Below are 18,633 nucleotides of genomic sequence, written 5' to 3'. Positions count from 1 at the left end.
TTCAGTTCTCCTGTTTATAAGTTATAGTGTCTCTCTTAAGTTGTTTATTTACCTAAAATGTTACGTAATTTTGGTTGTGGTTCACATTTGCATTTGAGATTCTCTCCTGCCTGTTTGTAAATGCTACATCTTGTCAACCTCACTTGTCCCAGTGATGTAAGGAAGGGGGAGGGTGTGCTGTCAGGGTGTGTTCTAATCAATAACTGGTATCCTGGGTCTAGGTCTCCCATGCTCCCCCTGGCTGTGAGCTGCTTCTGGGTCCGAAGTGCTCACAGCCACTCCTGAATGTAACTGAAGGGAAACATTCCCGCCTGCCATTTTGTGACATCCCAACCTTTCATGCTGTTGTGCTTTGTGCCACGTGGAAGCTAAAAACACCCTTAGCTTCCAAGGGTGTTCCTGGAACTACACCCACCATAGACAGCAGGCTTCTTCTCTCTTTGGGCTTCATTTATTTTATTTTATGAATATCCAATTTTTAAATGTGCTGGATCAAAATAGTTTGCAGCCCCCTGACACATCGCAGGATCACATAATAGAATTGACTCCTTTCATAACCTTAGTTTCAGAAGGTCTCACATTTGTATTACATAATTTAAAATATTTACACTTTGAATTTGCTTCAGACTGTCCCTTTAAAAAACAAGGAAACATTTTCCAATTTAAAGTGAGATGTTTCTTGGAATTATGTTGCACATTTCACTGTGTTCCAGAGGGTTTATAATTAATAGTCAAAGCAGCACCTGCTCTAAATCTTAATTGCTTTCTTCCCCACGAAAACTGATTCTGCAAGTGTTGGTGAATTGATTTGTGCTACATAAGAATGGCTGCAATCTCGGCTTTGGCATACGCAGTTTAGAAAACTGAACCCAGTATTGAAATTTTTCCCAAGGAAAAAATTAATTATATTTGTTTCAGATATTCAAGTCAAGTACCTGCGAATGGCTGTGATGGCAACAGTACCATTATTACCATTTTGGGTCACCCATGACTCAGGGGGTGAGGTCTATGTTCAGACATCTGAAGAGATCCAGAAAGTGTTATAATTTATCTGATAACAATAGAAACGTTCTAGAATTCAGTAACTTTGTTTAGCATAAACTGTCTGCAATAGATTGAATGTTTGTGTCTCTCCCAAATTTATATGTTGGAATCCTAAACCTCAATGTGATGGCATTGGAACTTGGGGCCTTTGGGAGGTAATTAGGTCATTACCTTATAATGACCTGGTGTAAGGGACCACAGAGAGCTCTCTCACACTCTGTTATACCTTATGAGGGTTCGAGGAGAAGTGGGTGATCTGTAACCCAGAAGAGAGCTCTCACCAGAACCTGACCTTGCTGGCACCCTGGTCGTGGACTTCCAGCCTCCAGAACTGTAAGAAATCAGTTTCGGCTGGGCACAGTGGCTCATACCTGTAATCCCTGCATTTTGCGAGGCTGAACTGGGAGGATTGCTTGAGGCCAAGAGTTCAAGACCAGCCTGGGCAATATGGTGAAACCCCATGTCTACAAAAAAATACAAAAATTATCCAGGTGTGGTGTTGCACACCTGTAGTCTCACTACTTAGGAGGCTGAGATGGGAGAATTGCTTGAGCCTGGAAGGTGGAGGTTGCAATGAGCCAAGATCATGTAGTTGCCCTCCAGCCTGGGTGACAGAGTGAGACTCTGTCTAAAAAAAAAAAAAAGAAAAAGAAAGAAAAAAAGAAAAAAAAAAAGAAAATTTCTGTTGTGTATTGTGTATAAGCTACCTAGTCTATGGTACTCTATTATAGCCATCCAATCTGATGAAGACCCTGCCCTAATTCCCTTTGTATTCAGCCTCCTCATCACTTTCATTTCAGTGCATCCCTCTGTGTAATGGGGTCCTGGGATCCAAGTCCACCTGTGCCAGTCACGGATGTGCCTGTGAGTCCATCACTCACCTTCCTTGAACCTCGTCTTGCTCATCCTACAGAAGGGTTCAGAGTCAGGCTTGGCAAATGCACAGCCTGCAGCTGTAGTAGAGTTGGCATCAGCTTTAAGACTCTGTGAATAAGATTTAATTCAGAAAATATTTACGGAAATACCGCTTTTGTAAATTAAACTGCATTAAAAAGAATATCTTCCATTACTTTTTCTTTTTTAAAAAGTCACATGTATTTGTTTCAGAAGAGAAAAAGAGACAGAGAGAGAGAAGCGAACGAAGTAAATTTCCTGCACTGCTTTAGTTATAGCCTTCAATACTTAATCAGCTGCATTTTAAATGTCCTAGGGGGATGCGGACCTTAAAAGAAGCAGAAAATGAATTCTTTTGTAATATGAATGCTTGATTTGTTAGCTCAATTTTTCATGTAGTAAATTTACTCTTAAAAGTATTCAGTGGTATTTCTTGTGATAGACTCATCCTTTCGTTCAGAAAACCCTTCAAGGGTCCTTCTGCTGGAAGACCATTTCTTGTCCCTACTTCTTTCTGTGTCACCTCTTGAGTCAAGACTACTCTTTTTTGTGTATAATTGCAGGTGTTTTTGTTTCAATTTCACAGTGTGGGGCAAAAGGCCCACTTGTCTTTTGATTGGCTCACCATCCGTGCATTTAAGGGCCCTAAGTTGCAGAAACTCTGGTGACTCAGTGCAGACAATGAGATACCAGTCAAATACCTAAGTGAGCTTTATTGGTGTTGCATTATAAATCTATTCTCTAAAGGAAGCATTTTTAAAACATGATTTACTTTGGGGGTGAATTTATTGCTTTTTTCCCAGTCCCTTGGGTGGAGAGGTAGGTGAGGGGCCAGGACAGCGAACTGATAATTGCTCCAGAGGGGCTGAGGGAGAGAGCTGCCAGCCTCACTCTGACCATGTATTTCATTAAATGCTTAAGTGGAGTAATCAGATTCAAGCGCAGACCAAAGAGGCGCTGGAAGACTTGAAAGGCATAGGTCATGTCACATCTCAGGTCTTATTGTAGCTGTTGTTCTGACATCCCCTATCTGAATGTAGAACAAGGAGGCCCATTATTAGTCTGCCCTGAAGGAACGATCATCATAAAAGGAAGCCAGGCTGATTAATTCAGTCATGGTCTTTTGGATTCCCAGTTCAGCTTCTCATGTTAATGAAACATGCGTAGTCGTTACAGTAGCTGTTGAAATTACCTGTCATATTTACGGTTTACCACAGCCTTTTCTTCTGAGGTTTCTAACAAAATGACAGGGATTTCCCAGTAGTCTCGTTCTTTATTTCTCTGGGTTTATTTGAGATGACAGTAGATGCAAGATGTGAGTTTTAAAAATGTCTATTTTTCCAAAAGAAGATTTATTTGATTCTCCAAAAACGTCTTCTTTTGTATAAAAAGATAGCTATTCACAGTATTGTCTTATTATCATAAGTATAGCATGTCAAAGCACGTTGATTAAAGCAACCAAGTGCACAGTGCTCAAACACAAGTCACCCTCGCAAGGTTTTCAATAGATTGGCAGTATAAATGTAGGCATATATATCTCAAATATATGTACATTTTATATGATGATTTTAGGTCTCGACATAAATTTTGGAGGCTGTTTTATTTGCTTGGTGCATATTTACAAAACATATCCTGAAGAAAATATGAGATCGGTATTTATAATTTCTAATGTACTTTAGACATCAGCTTTATAGCATTAATTATTAATATACTATTGGAAATAATTATAAAATGCTGGAAGCTCTGTAGTCATTTGAATTTATCTACAGTGAGTTTTTAAGGGTTTAATCAGTCATTACTATTATTATTTATTTTTTTTTGAGACAGAGTCTCGCTTTATTGCCCAGGCTGGAGTGCAGTGGCATGATCTCGGCTCACTGCAACCTCTGCCTCCTGGGTTCAAGAGATTCTCATGCTTCAGCCTCCCAAGTAGCCGGGACTACAGGCACACACCACCATGCATGGCTAATTTTTTGTATTTTTTGGTAGAGATGAGGTTTCACCATGTTGGCCGGGCTGTTCTCGAACTCCTGACCTCAAGTGATCTGCCCACCTTGGCCTCCCAAAGTGCTGAGGTTACAGATGTGAGCCACCACTCCCAGCCATCAATTATGTATTAAGGGATTTCTCTGCATTGTGTGAGTGAAATAAGACACTATTTCTAGGTTGTAGGGAAATGATGCTTCAGTAGAGGGACAGCATCTTTTGCAGAAAGGGGGCAATGAACTGCTACAGATACGGATGATGGGTAGATATTCAGGCCAAATACAACTGGGCCACTAGGTGAAGGATCATTAGTCCATATGGAGGTAAAAGAGAGAGCTCAATTCTCATGCAACGACCCTGGGTGAATCTTCAATTTGGTCTCACACGGTGACATTCTGACCCACAACGTAAGAACAGCACATAAATGCAACCTACTTAATGTTGACTCCAGGAGTGGGACGAGTGCAGTCAGTGGGTTCCGGCTACTTCCCTAACTTTCCCCACATAGTTGCATCTCTTCCTAAAAACTGCCCAGCTGTGACCAACTCCTGGTCACTTATTTTATACCAAGAGGAACACAGAGAGTTCTCCAGGCTCCTCACAGAGACAGGGTTTGGCCAGGCATGGCGGCTCACGCCTGTGATCCCAGCTATTCGGGAGGCTGAGATGGGAGAATCACTTGAACCCGGGAGGCGGAGCTTGCAGTGAGCTGAGATCGCACCACTGCACTCCAGCCTGGGCAACAGAGCAAGAGTCCGTCCCCCCCGCCAAAAAAAAAAAAAGGAAAGAGAAAGAAAAAAAACTCAGAGATAGGCTCTACTTAATTATTGTTCTCGTATTTGAATTAAAGGACTTACCTGTTTCTGGTTAGAAATTGATGGACATTTTCCTTCCTTGGGTGGGTTAAAAAAATAGCAGCCATGATTTGTATTAGCCTCTTTGGTTTTCTCTGCTACTTGTGTTTTTCTCAGCAGTTTGTCATTTAATGTGTTAAAGTCATGGTTCTCAATCGGAAGTGATTTTGTCCCCCAGAGGACACTTGGCAATGTCGGGAGACATTTTTGTTGTCACAGCCAGGAGGCAGAGTGGTGCGAAGATGTGGAAGAGGCCAGGGATAGTTAATAAGCACCCTACAATACACAGTAGAGCTCCCCCAACAGTTTTCCAATCCAAATTATCAATGGTGCCAAGGTAGAGAAACCCTGTGTTAGAGAATAACATGATCTTTTCAAAGCATGAGGCTGGGGGAGATGTGAAGATGATGGTCTGAGTGGAAGGGGATAATATTTTTCTAGAGGTCGGTCTCTTGGTTGTGAAAACTTAAAGGCACATCTGCCTCCAGAGACATTTAGCAAAACCTATGGCAAGAGGCAGCAGTGGCTTGCTGACCTGTCTGAAATGGAACTCACTGGATTGTTGCTTCTGTGGGCAATTCCTTCCACCTTCCAACCGGCCCACCATCCATCCACGCACACACCTTCCCCTCTCTTCCAACCCAGTGTCTCTGCTGCTCTTCATTTTCCATACTTTCCCCCTTCTTTTTTTCAGATGGAGTCTTGCTCTTGTCACCCAGGCTGGAGTGCAATGGCACGATCACGGCTCACTGCAACCTCCGCCTCCTGGGTTCAAGCAATTCCTGCCTCAGTCTCCCAAGTAGCTTGGATTACAGGTGCCCACCACCACACCCAGCTAATTTTTGTATTTTTAGTAGAGATGGGGTTTCGCCATGTTGGTCAACCTGGTCTCGAACTCCTGACCTCAGGTGATCCACCCACCTCAGGCTCCCAAAGTGCTGGAATTACAGGCGTGAGCCACCCCAACTGGCCTCATATCCTTTCTTAAATGCTGTTTTATTTCACCATGAAATACCACCCATGAGAAACACAACCCTGGAGCCTGCAACCTAATTCATACAGCTGAATCCTTCTTCAAATTAAAGAATGTTGATGGCAGGAGCCGATAACAACTGCACATTTTTTTTTCTGGCATTCGCAGAGAGACATGTATTTCAAAAAGCTGCCTCTTCTTTCCAATAACCATTAGAGGAAACGTAAAGCAATTTACCCTTTGAAGTTTTTTCATTAACAAAGGGTGGGGGGAAGAGTGGTGGAGAGAAAGAATGAAAAAAGGAACTTTCCTCAAAGGAAATATTCTAGACAGATGACTTGATTTAGGGCTCTTAATGCACTCAGCTTTTTAACAGTCTGAATAACTCAGCAAGACTGAAACAAAGAAGGTTCTAAAAAAGCAACCCGTGGCTGGGACTGTGGGTAATGAAATTTGCTTTGAACAATATGATCACTGTATGTGCATGTTTCAAATGATCACCACAACATACACACAAAAATCTTTGTTCTGTTAATGCTGTTCTAATCTTAGAACCAGATTAGATCTTGTGCTCTTCCCACTGTGGAATTTCGCTTCCCATGGAAATAGTTGCTCCTTCCTTATCCTTACGAGTGGGTAGAAGACAGTATTTCAAGCAGTGAGAGATGTTCTAAGGCGGAGGTGGCGAAGATGTGTGGCATGAACGTCACAGCTGCTGGTCTCTACTCCCTCTCCTTTCCCATGGACAACACTGTAAAATCATCACCACCTCTTTCTGGTTGAGCCCAAACAAGGTCTCAGAATCCTCACATGGCATTTCCTTCTGTTCTAAGACACTCGAAGAAGTCTCACTGTAGACTAGAAGATCTGGCCAGAGGTGTTTAGTGTCCCTTTTCACCCATACAATGCAGCCCAGAATGTTGCTCTTTATGAAATACAGCCAAGCAACTGCACTACTTTAGCTGGACCAGAAGTATCTGTGAATCCTGAATGATCAGGTGAACTACTCAGTTTTCATAACTGTAGTGGACTGATCACAAAACAGCTCCAACCACCCCCTATATCCATACTCTATGAAATGTGATGTTGCAGCTACTCCCATCAAGACATGTGACTGCTTTGCACCTTGTATTTGATCTGATCTAGTGACTTGCTTTGGCCAATAGAATAAAGTGAAAGTGACAATGTGAGGGCTGCCTGGGCCTCAGAGGGCTTCGTGCTCTTCCACTGTGTCTCTGGCTCCTCTGTCCTCCTCCTGACACTGTTTCTACATCCGCTGCTAGCCTGCTGGAGGACGGCGAAGTGGAGCAGAGCCAAGTCAGCCCACTGGGCCTAGCCAAGTCCCCAGATTTGAAAGGGAGCTCAACCAAGATCACCAAAACCACCTAGACTGCCACCACCAACCACAGATGCGTAAGTGTGCCCTGCTGAGTCCAGTTCAGATCAACACATCCAGAGCAGTGAGCAAAAATCCGTGTTTATTACATTATACATCTGAGGTGAGCAGTGGTTTATGAAACAGTAATAGCTAACATACAATAACAAATCTCTGCTCAATTTGCACCTCGTCTATGAAGTATTCTTTTCTTTTTTCTTTTTTTTTTTTTTTGAGACTGAGTCTCACTTTATCACCCAGGCTGGAATACAGTGGCGTGATTTTGGCTCACTGCAATTTCCACCCAGGTTCAAGCAATTCTCGTGCCTCAACCTCCCGCGTAGCTGGAATTACAGGTGCTTGCCACCATGCCCGGCTAATTTTTGTATTTTTAGTAGTAGAGACGAGGTTTCACCATGTTGGCCAGGCTGGTTGCAGACGCCTGACCTCAAGTAATCCACCTGCCTCAGCCTCCCAAGGTGTTGGGATTACAGGCGTGAGCCACTGTGCCCAACTACAAATTATTCTTAACCACTTCAACCATACTGACTTCTTGCTTTTCTGCACACCAGGAAGAACTCACTGACCAAGCCCATGGTTCCCAACTTTTGTTCCAGTAACAAAAACTTTATGTATAACTTTGTGCTATACCTTTAACGCTTGGGAGTTGAAAAAACAAACCATCATGATCACCTGAATTCAGTAACCGTTACAAATGAATATTTATTTTCATAATCACATCACTGTATGCACGTGAAAAGAATAGTATGCATATGTATGAGATATTATGTATTCAGTCAAAAAACAATGTGTGGTTCAGCTGGAGATTCAAAGCCTCCTTATTAAACTTGAGTGTTCTTTGGGAGTCTTGGACCCCAGTGATGGAAAACGTTGGTCCTTGCTTGCTTTTTAACATTTACTCATGCAATATTTGGGAATGTGAGTTAAATGTTCTCCCAGGTATCCTGTGACATTGTTCATGTTTCAGAGGAGGGATTCTGTCTTGTCCTTCCCTCGCCCTGTTTAGTGCCCCACCTTGTAGCACATAGAACCATGTTGTGCACACAACAGCATCAGTGTGGATGAGGCTGGTTCCAGCCACCCAGGCCTTGTGCTATTTGGAAGGCTGTACCTTCTAGTCATTAGACAAGCAGGCTCTGCAGTCAATGGGCCTGGGTTCAATACCTGGCTCTGCCACTTACTAGCTCTGTGACCTGGAGCAAGTCACTTACTTAGCCTCTCTGCCTCAGTCTACTTATCTGTAAAATGGGCATATTCTTATATCCTCATTAGCACCCATCATTTAAGGTTCTTGTGAGGATTAAATGAATTAATACATATAAGACACTTAGCTCATTGCCTGGCACATATTAACATGTTAATTTGTTAATATTAACTTATTAGTAATATAATATAAATATTAACTTAAATTATTGTTAATAATGAAGTCCTTAGAAAGAGTACCTGGTGCAAGTAAATGTCATTAAACATTAGATGTTGTTATTAATGTTGGTATTGTTATTATTACTATGAAACCCTCAAAGTCCCTGAAAATTTTTGATTTGTTTAAAAAGACATTTTGCCAATATCATTGCTAAATATATAATCCATGATCTAACTCAGCAAAGCTCCTCAATATGGTAAATTTGGGGCATAACTTTGGTTACTTTTGGTAGGTGGTACTCGATTTCATGTGGGCAGACAGACCATTCTGAGGAAGCAGCCAGCTCCCTTTCTGTGCAGGAGGGAATATCTGACAGGTCCTTGCAAAGTGTTTTTCTGGTCAACATTCTCTTCTGATCCTTGGAGTTGTTCATGCTCACTTTCTATACTGTGAGCCCTTTCACATTCAGGAGAAAGAGAGGTAAAATCTGGGGACACCTAAAAAGGAGGTTTCTAATGTACTGTTGAAATGATACGGTGTCTGGGATTGATTGCTTCAAAATAGTTACGAGGTTGAGGACAGGAGAGAGCGAAGCTATTAAACCAGATTGGCCATAGATTAATGACTTGAGATTGGATGATGGATACATGAGATTTCATTTTCTTGTTCTCTCTGCTTTTGTGCATACTTAGCAGTTTCCATAATTAAAAAATTTAAAAAAAACCTGCATGTACCCTGTTAAGAGGGCTAAACAAAGAGATTTCATTGTCTTCTAAGATAATGTATTATATTGTCTCTGAACACTTGCTTTTAGTTAAATGTTTCCTTTTACTTATTCTTACATGAGTCTATTCTTCACCTAAGGTTCATTTCTCACGGCCAATGAAAAAAGAGCCCATGACCCCTTGTATTAGTCCATTTTCACACTGCTGTAAAGAAATACCTAAGACTGGGTAATTTAAAAAGCAAAGAGCTTCAACTGACTCACAGTTCCACGTGGCTGAGAAGGCCTCAAGAAACTTACAATCATGGCAGAAGATGATCCCTCAATACCTGGGGATTACAATTCAAGATGAGATTTGGATGAGGACACAGAGCCAAACCATATCATCCCTCATTCATCCACTCTATAAACACTTATTGAGCAACTACTATGGACGGTGTATAAGATAAAGAATGCTTCTCTTCTCTCTCATGGAGTTTATATTTTACTAGGAAAAATAGAGTACAAGCAAATAAGCAAGAAAAATAACAGATAATGAGAATTTTTATAGAGGTGACAATTTTTATAAAGGTGATCCCTTAAACTGAGGGGTTATCTTAAATTAGATGATCGAGAAAGAGCTCCCACAGGAGATAACACTTAAGCTGAGATCTAAAATTTAAAAGAAGCCATCCATCAAAGGTTGGCAGGAAGAACACTCCAGCCAGAAAGGCCAGGCAGTACAAAAGCTTCAAGGCAGAGCAAGCATGGTGATGTTTCAAAACCGGGAAGATGGTGGCCATGCCGGGTGTATGCTGGGCAAAGGGATTGTGGCTCAAGATGAAAGTAGGACAAGAGAGAGGCAGAGGTCAGTTCAGACTTTGAAATCCAGGGTGAGACTCTTGACTTTTATCCTAAGTGTGTTGGAAAAGGAGCTGGAGGGTTTACAGCAGGGATGTGACATGACCTGGCTTCAGATTTAACAAGAATACTCTGCTGCTGTGAGAGAATGAGGTGCAGCAGGACTTATCGCAGGCAGAGCATGTGGGAGCTTTTATGGCCAGTCTTGGCCAGAGAAGGTACTGTTTTAGAGCAGGGCTACAGCAGGGAGGTGATGAGAAGGGGTCCCATCCAGGCTATTTGAGGAGTGGCATTGACAAGTCTCGCTGCTGGCTGGGGTGGAGGTAGGGGGATGGCGAGGGAAGGACAGGAATAACTTTTGCGTTTGGAACTTGAATGACTGGGTGGATGGAGGTGCTGTTTTCAGAAATAGGAAAGACTGAAAGGAGACCAGTCTTTTTTGGCATTTGCATGGGTAGAGGGAGTGAGGGTGGGAGTCATTTGCATGCGCCAAGTGGTTAATACTAAGTAGCTAAACACAGTTGTCTTAAACTCTGGGTAGCAGCTTCTTTCATTGGCCTGATATGTAGATGTGTCAAGAAAACAGTCACCGTCGCAACAGCTTTTTTGAACATGGCCAAGATTACAACTGCTTCTTAAATAAGTTCACAGGATCAAGTATTTGGTAGGGTTTTCTTTTACAGCCTTATGTGCAACGAAGTACATAAGGAATGCCTTTTCATGAGAGCAATAGTGATAATTCATTGGGGAAAGCCGACATTTATCTTATAAACCACAACAGTGTGATGATGTGTGTAACTGCTGGTTTATTGTCTGTCTCTATCACTAGAACGTAAACTCCCCAGAGGCAGGGCCTTATCTGAAAGGTGGAGAGATGAAGACAAAGAAGTCAGGGACCTCAGGATCTAAGGGAAGAAAAAAGTTGGTGAGTTTCTTTTAGCATCATAGACCTGAGACTAGTAGCTGAAGAAGTAGCTAACCCAGAAACGCAAACAGGTGCAGACAAAAAAAAATTTCCCCCCAAACCTGCTCTCTATAGCCAAAGGAGCAAGAAAGGAGAAGCCTAGCAAGACAGAAAACTTGTAGACAATAACCATGGTACTCCAGCCAAACATGCGGAAAAACTACAGCCTCACCCCATCCATGGTATTAAGGACTAAATATTTGTGTTCCCCCCAAAAAGGAATATGTTGAAATTCTAATACTGTGATGGCATTTGTTGGCAGGGCTTTTGGAAAGTAATTAGAATTAGATAGAGTCATGAGGCTGGAGTATTTATCAATAGGGTTAGTGCCCTTGGAAGAGCTTGCTGGCTTCTCTGCACCACGTGAGGATACAGCAGGAAATGGGCCATCTGCAATCCGGAAGAGTCCTCATTGGAACCCGGTGATGCTGGCACTGTGACCTCAGGGTTCCAACCTTGGAACCATGAGAAATAACTTCTGTTGTTTATAAGCCACTCAGTCTATGGTAATTTGTTATAGCAGCCTGAAATGACTAAGACACACACCAGTACATCCAAGTGGAGAGCCAGACTTCCACCCACACGAGACTGTCTCAAGGTGCTCCAACACCTCCCCTGTAGGGAGCATCTGAGACAGTCAAACAGAGCCTGTCATAAGGCCACCTCGTGGTATCTGTGGAGAATGTCAGGAGAGTCTTGCCTTTCTCCTCCACCAGCAATAACAAAGCGCCTGTCCTCCTACCATCTGGGTGGCGTCAGAGGGATATTCTAGTGGAGACTCGGGACTTTCAAGATTTACCATCAACAATGAGGTCAGCTCTACCTCAGTATCAGTGGAGACCACAAACACAGCTGAAAATTCCTCTTCCATCCAACCGTAACAAGGAGCATCCCCACCCCCAAACTTGGGTGTCAATGAAGGATGGGTGGAGAACCTGGATTTCTTCCTCTACCTGGCAGTAAGAGACTCCTGTTTTCCTACTGAAGTAGTGTTGAAAAACAAAACAAAACAAAACACAGCTCAAACAGAAGGTTTAAATAAGATCCAGGGGCTCACAACATAGTAAAAAAATATCCAGGTTTCGAAAGAAAAACACTCATCATACCAATAAGCAGGAATAATTGTAAATGAATTAAAAAGTAGAATCAAACTAAGCATGATGGCTCATGCCTGTAATCCCAGCACTTTGGGAGGCCGAGGCAGAAGAATGGCTTGAGCCTAGGAGTTCAAGACGAGCCTGGGCAACATAGCAAGACCTCATCTGTACGACAAACAAACAAACAAACAAAAATAGAATCGACAGATGTCAACATTGAGATGACAGAAATGTTGAAATTATCTGACAAGGATTTTAAAGCAGTCATTGTAAAAATATTTCAAGAACACACTTGAAACAAATTAAAAAATAGAAGGCCCAGCAAAGAAATAGAAGATATAAAGAAAAAACAAACAGAAATTTTAGAACTAAAAAATACAATAACTGAAATAAAATTATCCATGATGGGCTTAATAGCAGAATAGAGGGTATGAAAGAATAATGCAGTGAGCTGAAGGAACAGTAGATGTTATGCAATCTAAACAAGACAGAGAAAATAAACTAGAATTCAATTAACAGAGTTTCAGGGACCTGTGGTCTCTAACAGAACAGTAACATTCAGGTCATTGGTGTTCCAAGAAAAGAAGAAGGACGATGGGGCTGAAAATGTATTTAAAGAAATAATGGCAGAAAACAGAAATCTACAGATTTAAGAGCCTAAGTGTAACTCAAACACACACCCCCACAAAGTTCCATGCACAGACACGTCATAATTAGACTTCTGAAAATTAGAGGAAATGAAAAAGTAAACCTTGAAATCAGCAGAAGAGAAATAAGATCTCACCTACAGGAGAAAAACAATTAGAATGGCAGCATAGTTCTTATCAGAAATCTTAGAGCCAGAAGGAAGTGGCACAAGGCTGGTTCATGTTTTGAAAAATCTGTTAATGTAATCCACCTTCTTAACAGGCTAAAGAAGAGAAAGTATATGATTATATCAATCAATGCACCGAAAAGGCATTTGACAAAATTCAGCATCTGTCTGATAAAAACCCTCAGAAAATTAATAATAGAAAGAAATTTCCTCAACTTGATAAAGATTATCTGTAAAAAGCCTGCAGCTAACATTACACTTACTTAATGGTAATGAATTGTTAGCAGTGTAGGGAATTAGAGGCAGTAGAATTGCAGAGTGCCCGTAGCTGAAGGAGTGACTTAAAGGCCGCCTAATTATCCTTCTCACTTTTTAGGCAGAAAACCAGCGTCTAGAGCTCTCTAATATCACGACAGTGCCAGATGCACGTTTCCACATTCTCAACAACTGTTTTTCTTCATCTACATATTTCCCCTCAGCATTTGATGTCTAATCTCAGAAGAATAAAGAATATAATACTTCCAAGCACAGTGGCTCACGCCTGTAATCCTAGCACTTTGGGAGGCCGAGGCAGGTGGAGCACCTGAGGTCAGGAGTTCAAGACCAGCCTGGCCAACATGGTGAAACCCCGTCTCTACTAAAAGTACAAAAATTAGCTGGGCATGGTGGCACGTGCCTGTAGTCCCAGCTACTAGGAAGGCTGAGGCATGACAATCACTTGAGCCCGGGAGGTAGAGGTTGCAGTGAGCTGAGACTGAGATCACACCACTGCACTCTAGCCTGGGTGACACAGCAAGACTCTGTCTCAAAACAACAACAACAACAACAAACATATATATATATATATAAAATACTGTATGTTCATAATTTGCTTCTATGAGAAATATTAGACTATAAGTCCCTGGAGGGTAAAATTTCTGCTTTTTGTTTTTTTGTTGTTGTTGTTTTTTAGAGACAGGGTCTTGCTATTTTGCTCAGGCTGGATTCGAACTCCCGAACTTAGGGATCCTCCCACCTCAGCCTCCGGATTACAAAGATTACAGGCACTGGGATTATAGGCACCTGCCTCGAAATTCAGCTTTGGTATTCATTGTGTATACCATCTAGCTCAGTCCCATGTGTGGTCATTGAATACACTCACATTTGAATGGATAATATGAGCATTTATCCCTTCTTTCTTAAGGCGAGTGCTGGTGATTTTTCTTGATGAGGGCCTGCATGACATTTGCATTTCTCAGAAGGGAGTAGCTACACAGAGATAGTTCTGGGCAGAACTGCCAAGCAAAACTTTTGGATGAGCCCTGGCCTGTGCACTCGGCAGGTTCGCTTTCTCACAGTCAGCTCATCCAGGGGCAGTTTGATCTCCTCCCGAGCAGGGTTCTTAAAGCTAAGGGGTGGTTCCACACTGCTGGCAGAAAGGCATTTTTCTCCTAACTGCCTACTTTTTAACTGATTGACTTAGGGTCCAACCAATTTGCAGCACAGTGACAAGCAGGAAAAAAAAAAAAAAAGCACATAGTCACACGTATACACATTTTACAAATTTGCTAAGGACACTGTTTGAAGTTGATTTCTACTTGGACATTCCAAGCCAACTGAGAGCCTCTCAGGTGTTTTGACATCCACGGGCATAACTGCTAATTATCGACTTTGATTTGAGTCTTTTTTAATTCCCTCAAAGCTATCGGCTCATGCAACTTCTCTGAGAATTTGAAATGCATCATCCAGGTGAGTTTGAAAGGGGGTCACCGTCCTCAAGAAAACAAGCGTATGAATAGTCCTCGTGGAAAAAAAAATCTCACACTTTCCAGATATCAGATCTTAAAGGATAAGAAGCCTTAAAATTATTTACGGTGATTGGTGTGAGATTTTTAAAGCCTGGCTATGTCTGTGACTATCAGAGGGCCCAGCCTCTTCACCCACTCTGGGAGCACAAAGTGACAGAGATATGGGGCAACACAAATATGAAATGGAAATGATGCTTGTGATTGCCATCTGGCAATACTTATTACACGACGTAGCCCAGAACGTCACAGAACAAATCACTTAGCCCAAGAAAAGCATTCAGATCAGGAGCAGCTGGTTGGGGTGTGTGTTTCCCCATTACAAAACTCACAGAGTTCGGTGAGTCCTGATTGGTACCTCCCACTGTGTGTGGTTCCTCCCAGGGGAAGCAGGTTAAGGAAGGGTAGACAAATAAGCATCAACTTCTTATCCCATGAGCAAGCTAGCCAGGGGTCCTTTTGTACATGAAAAGCAACCTGTCCCTTTTTTTCTTCTAGTTTCAGAAAATTATTTTAGGAATGAGCTCTCACTATGTCACCCAGGATAGAGTGCAGTGGCTCTCCATATGCATGATCATAGTGCACTACAGCCTGGAACTCCCAGCCTCAAGCAATCCTCCAGCCTCAGCCTCTCAAGTAGCTGGGATTACAGGTGCACACCACTATGCCCATCCCGTTCCTTTTTGTAATCCCCAAAGCAACTATTGCTAAAGAAAGATGTCTGTGAAAGAGACAGCTCCAGCCAGGACGGTAGTTCGGAGTGTCTGGGCTCAGTTTCCAATCGCAGATGATTGCAAAGCATTCCTTCTCCCCTTCATCTTCCAAACTCCTGGATGATGAGCTAGTATAGTAGAGGAAGATGAAACTGGTGGACTGCTGCCCAGACAGAAAATCTTAAAGGACCATATTGCCCTTTGCTGAGGCTCCATTACCACTGAGATGCATTCCTTCACCCATTCATCTTCCAAACTCCCAAATGATGAGGTAATATAATAGAGGAAGATGAGATCGGTGGACTGCTGCCCAGACAAAATCTTAGAGGCCCATATTGCCCTTTGCTCAGGCTCCGTTACCACTGAGATGACTGGAACCTTGGATGGTAGCTGGTTTCACAGTGAGGGCCTTTGATGTGGTGCACAACTGTTTCTTTGAAACCATCATAGTGCATTCCTTTTTTTTTTTTTTTTTTTTTCAGAGAAACACAGCAGAAGGCATAGCAAGTCCATGCCCATCCCTTCTTCCCAGAGGTAACATTAAGCTGGTGAATATTTCAGCAGCCCTCTGGCCATGTCTCCTTTGACTTCTGCACAGGACTAAACAAGTGAGAACAAAATCAGAAAAAAAGTTAGTGCACACACAGACCTTGTCTTCTGTGATAACTCAGAAAAAAATAGAATGTGAGGAGTAGAATTACGCAAAAGCACTGACTCATTTTTAAAAACTTTTTCTGTGTATTTCATATCAAACTATAATTTATTAACATGGCAGTACACAAATCACAAGTAGCTAAGTGGATTTTGACAAATGCACACTGCTGTAACAATCTTCCAGTTAGTCATTATTTTTAAGTGCTCAGATTTCTAAAAGCAACATTAATGGGCTAACCTAGTTTCTCCATTGTTCTCAACTGAACCTGTAATTTTTTTTCTTGAAAAGTCAGATCTTGGAGAAGTTGATAAACAGAGAAGGGATAACAACCTCCTGTTTCTTCATTGGACAAGAGTTTTATGAGTTTGAGCTAGGTAAGAACCCACCCTTCAGAGAGAAATCAAATCTTTGAGTAAGCCAAAGTTTCTTTAACTTTCGGTATTACAGAAATCTTTTTTTTTTTTTTCTTTTTTTGAGACAGAGTTTCACTCTTGTTGCCCAGCCTGGAGTGCAATGGCGCAATCTCGGCTCACTGCAACCTCTGCTTCCCTGGTTCAAGCGATTCCTGCCTCAGCCTCCTAAGTAGCTGGGATTACAGGTGCCTGTCACCATGCCCAGCTAATTTTTGTATTTTTAGTAGAGACAGGGTTTCACCGTATTGACCAGACTGGTCTCAAACTGCTGACCTAAGGTGATCCACCCACCTCGGCCTCCCAAAATGCTGGGATTATAGGCATGAGCCACCGCTCTCGGCCAGTTTTTGGTATTATAGAAATCTTGAAGCAAGTCTTTAAAAAAAAAATACTCTTTCTACTTTTTAATTGAATTTCCGATAATTTTTATTTGACCAATTTCCTCCCCCCAACCTATTAAGAAAACAAAACTGTGACCTTAAAAAGAAAAGTCTGAAGAGCTCTGAATGCTACTAATTTCAAAAAGAAATATTATTTTTGATGTGTAATTTTGATTCAATATGGCATTGAATTTTAGGCAGTGCTTTCTAAATCCGAAAACATTAGGCTTATTTGAGGCAGTTATTAAAAATGTAGCCCCACCTTAAGCCAGTCAAATTAGAATCTCTGAGAAGTTGTATTACACCAGATGATTCTGAAATCAGGGCTCCTAGAACAGTTTGAGAAACTCAAAGTTAAGAGGACATAGGCAACAGGCCTAATGAATATCTAGAAGTGCCTAAAACTATACAAAAGTATTGTGTTTTTCCTTTTTTTTTTTTTTTTTTTCTTTTTGAGACAGAGTCTCACTCTGTCACCCAGGATGGCGTGAAGTGGCACAATCTTGGCTCACTGCAACCTCTGCCTCCCAGGTTCAACTGATTCTCCTCGTGCCTCAGCCTCCCGACTAGCTGGGACTACTGGTGCTGGCTACCACACCTGGCTATTTTTTTTTTTTTTTTTCTTTCTTTCTTTCTTTCTTTCTTTCTTTCTTTCTTTCTTTCTTTCTTTCTTTCTTTCCTTTTTTTTTGTATTTTTAGTAGAGACGGGGTTCTACCATGGTGGCCTGGCTGGTCTCGAACTCCTGACCTCAGGTGATCCACCCGCCTCAGCCTCCCAAAGTGCAGGGATTATAGGCGTGAGCCTCTGCACCTGGCTTCTTTCCTTTTTAATTACATCAGTGTCACCTTGATGGGTAGGCTCTGGTCATGGTCAGCTGTGCAGTCCACGGTTTGAAATCACTCAAGGGCAACATGATTATAGGGTTAACTTTCAGCCTCATACACCAGACTTAAATCCCAACTCTACCGCTTACTCGCTGTGTGACCTTGGGCAAGTTGCTGACCTCTCTGTACCTTCATTCTTTCATCTATTAAAATGAGAGTGACATTTTTGGAATCTGTTAATAAATTTTTTTACAACTTATTCAGGATTCTGGAACTCATTCTGAGTTCTTGATCCTTATCAGGATCAAAGAGGGGCGAGGATAACACCTACTTCATGAACTGTTAACAATTAAATGAGTGAATACTGCTGATCCTCTTAATTCTGCATTTGTGATCTTGCCTACTTGCTAACATTTATTTGTGACTCCCAGATCAATACCTAGGACACTTTTGTGGTCATTTGTGGACACGTGCAGAGCTGCAAGCATGTGTGTCACCAACATGCATGTTCCCAGCTGTGGCTGAACAAGGTTACCCTCTGCCCTACTATTTCAGCTCTCAGTTTGTAAACACGTCTTTTTTGCAGTCTATTTAGTACACATTTATTGCACGTTTGTACTTTTTGTTAGTCATTTTTCTATCTGAAATGGGCCCCAGGCATGGCGCTGAAGTGCCGCCCCGTGTTCCTAAGCACAGAAAGTTGGGACGTGCCTTACAGAGAAAATATGTGTGTTTGGAAAAGCTTAGTTCATGCATGAGTTATAGTGTTGTGGGCTGTGATTTCAATGTTAATGAGTCAACAATATATGTGAAATAAGATGTCTTTAGACAGAAGCTCATAGAAAGCCAAATTATGTACTGACCTGTTAACAAAACATTGTGACCTTCTGCTCATACAAACCTCACTCTGGCTC

The 18,633-nt window shown here is 41.9% G+C and overlaps 1 annotated feature.

The window, feature by feature from the left end:
* Positions 11,659-11,808: a silencer, noted in NCBI's record as "silent region_18896". NCBI's record gives its function as "represses an Ori minimal core promoter by ATAC-STARR-seq in GM12878 lymphoblastoid cells {active_cell/tissue: GM12878}" and the evidence as "EXISTENCE:reporter gene assay evidence [ECO:0000049][PMID:35858748]".

The sequence above is a fragment of the Homo sapiens genome, chromosome 8 (assembly GCF_000001405.40).
Source record: "Homo sapiens chromosome 8, GRCh38.p14 Primary Assembly".
Taxonomy (NCBI): domain Eukaryota; kingdom Metazoa; phylum Chordata; class Mammalia; order Primates; family Hominidae; genus Homo; species Homo sapiens.
Note: the sequence above shows the minus strand (reverse complement) of the source record. Positions and strands in the feature narration are given on the sequence as shown.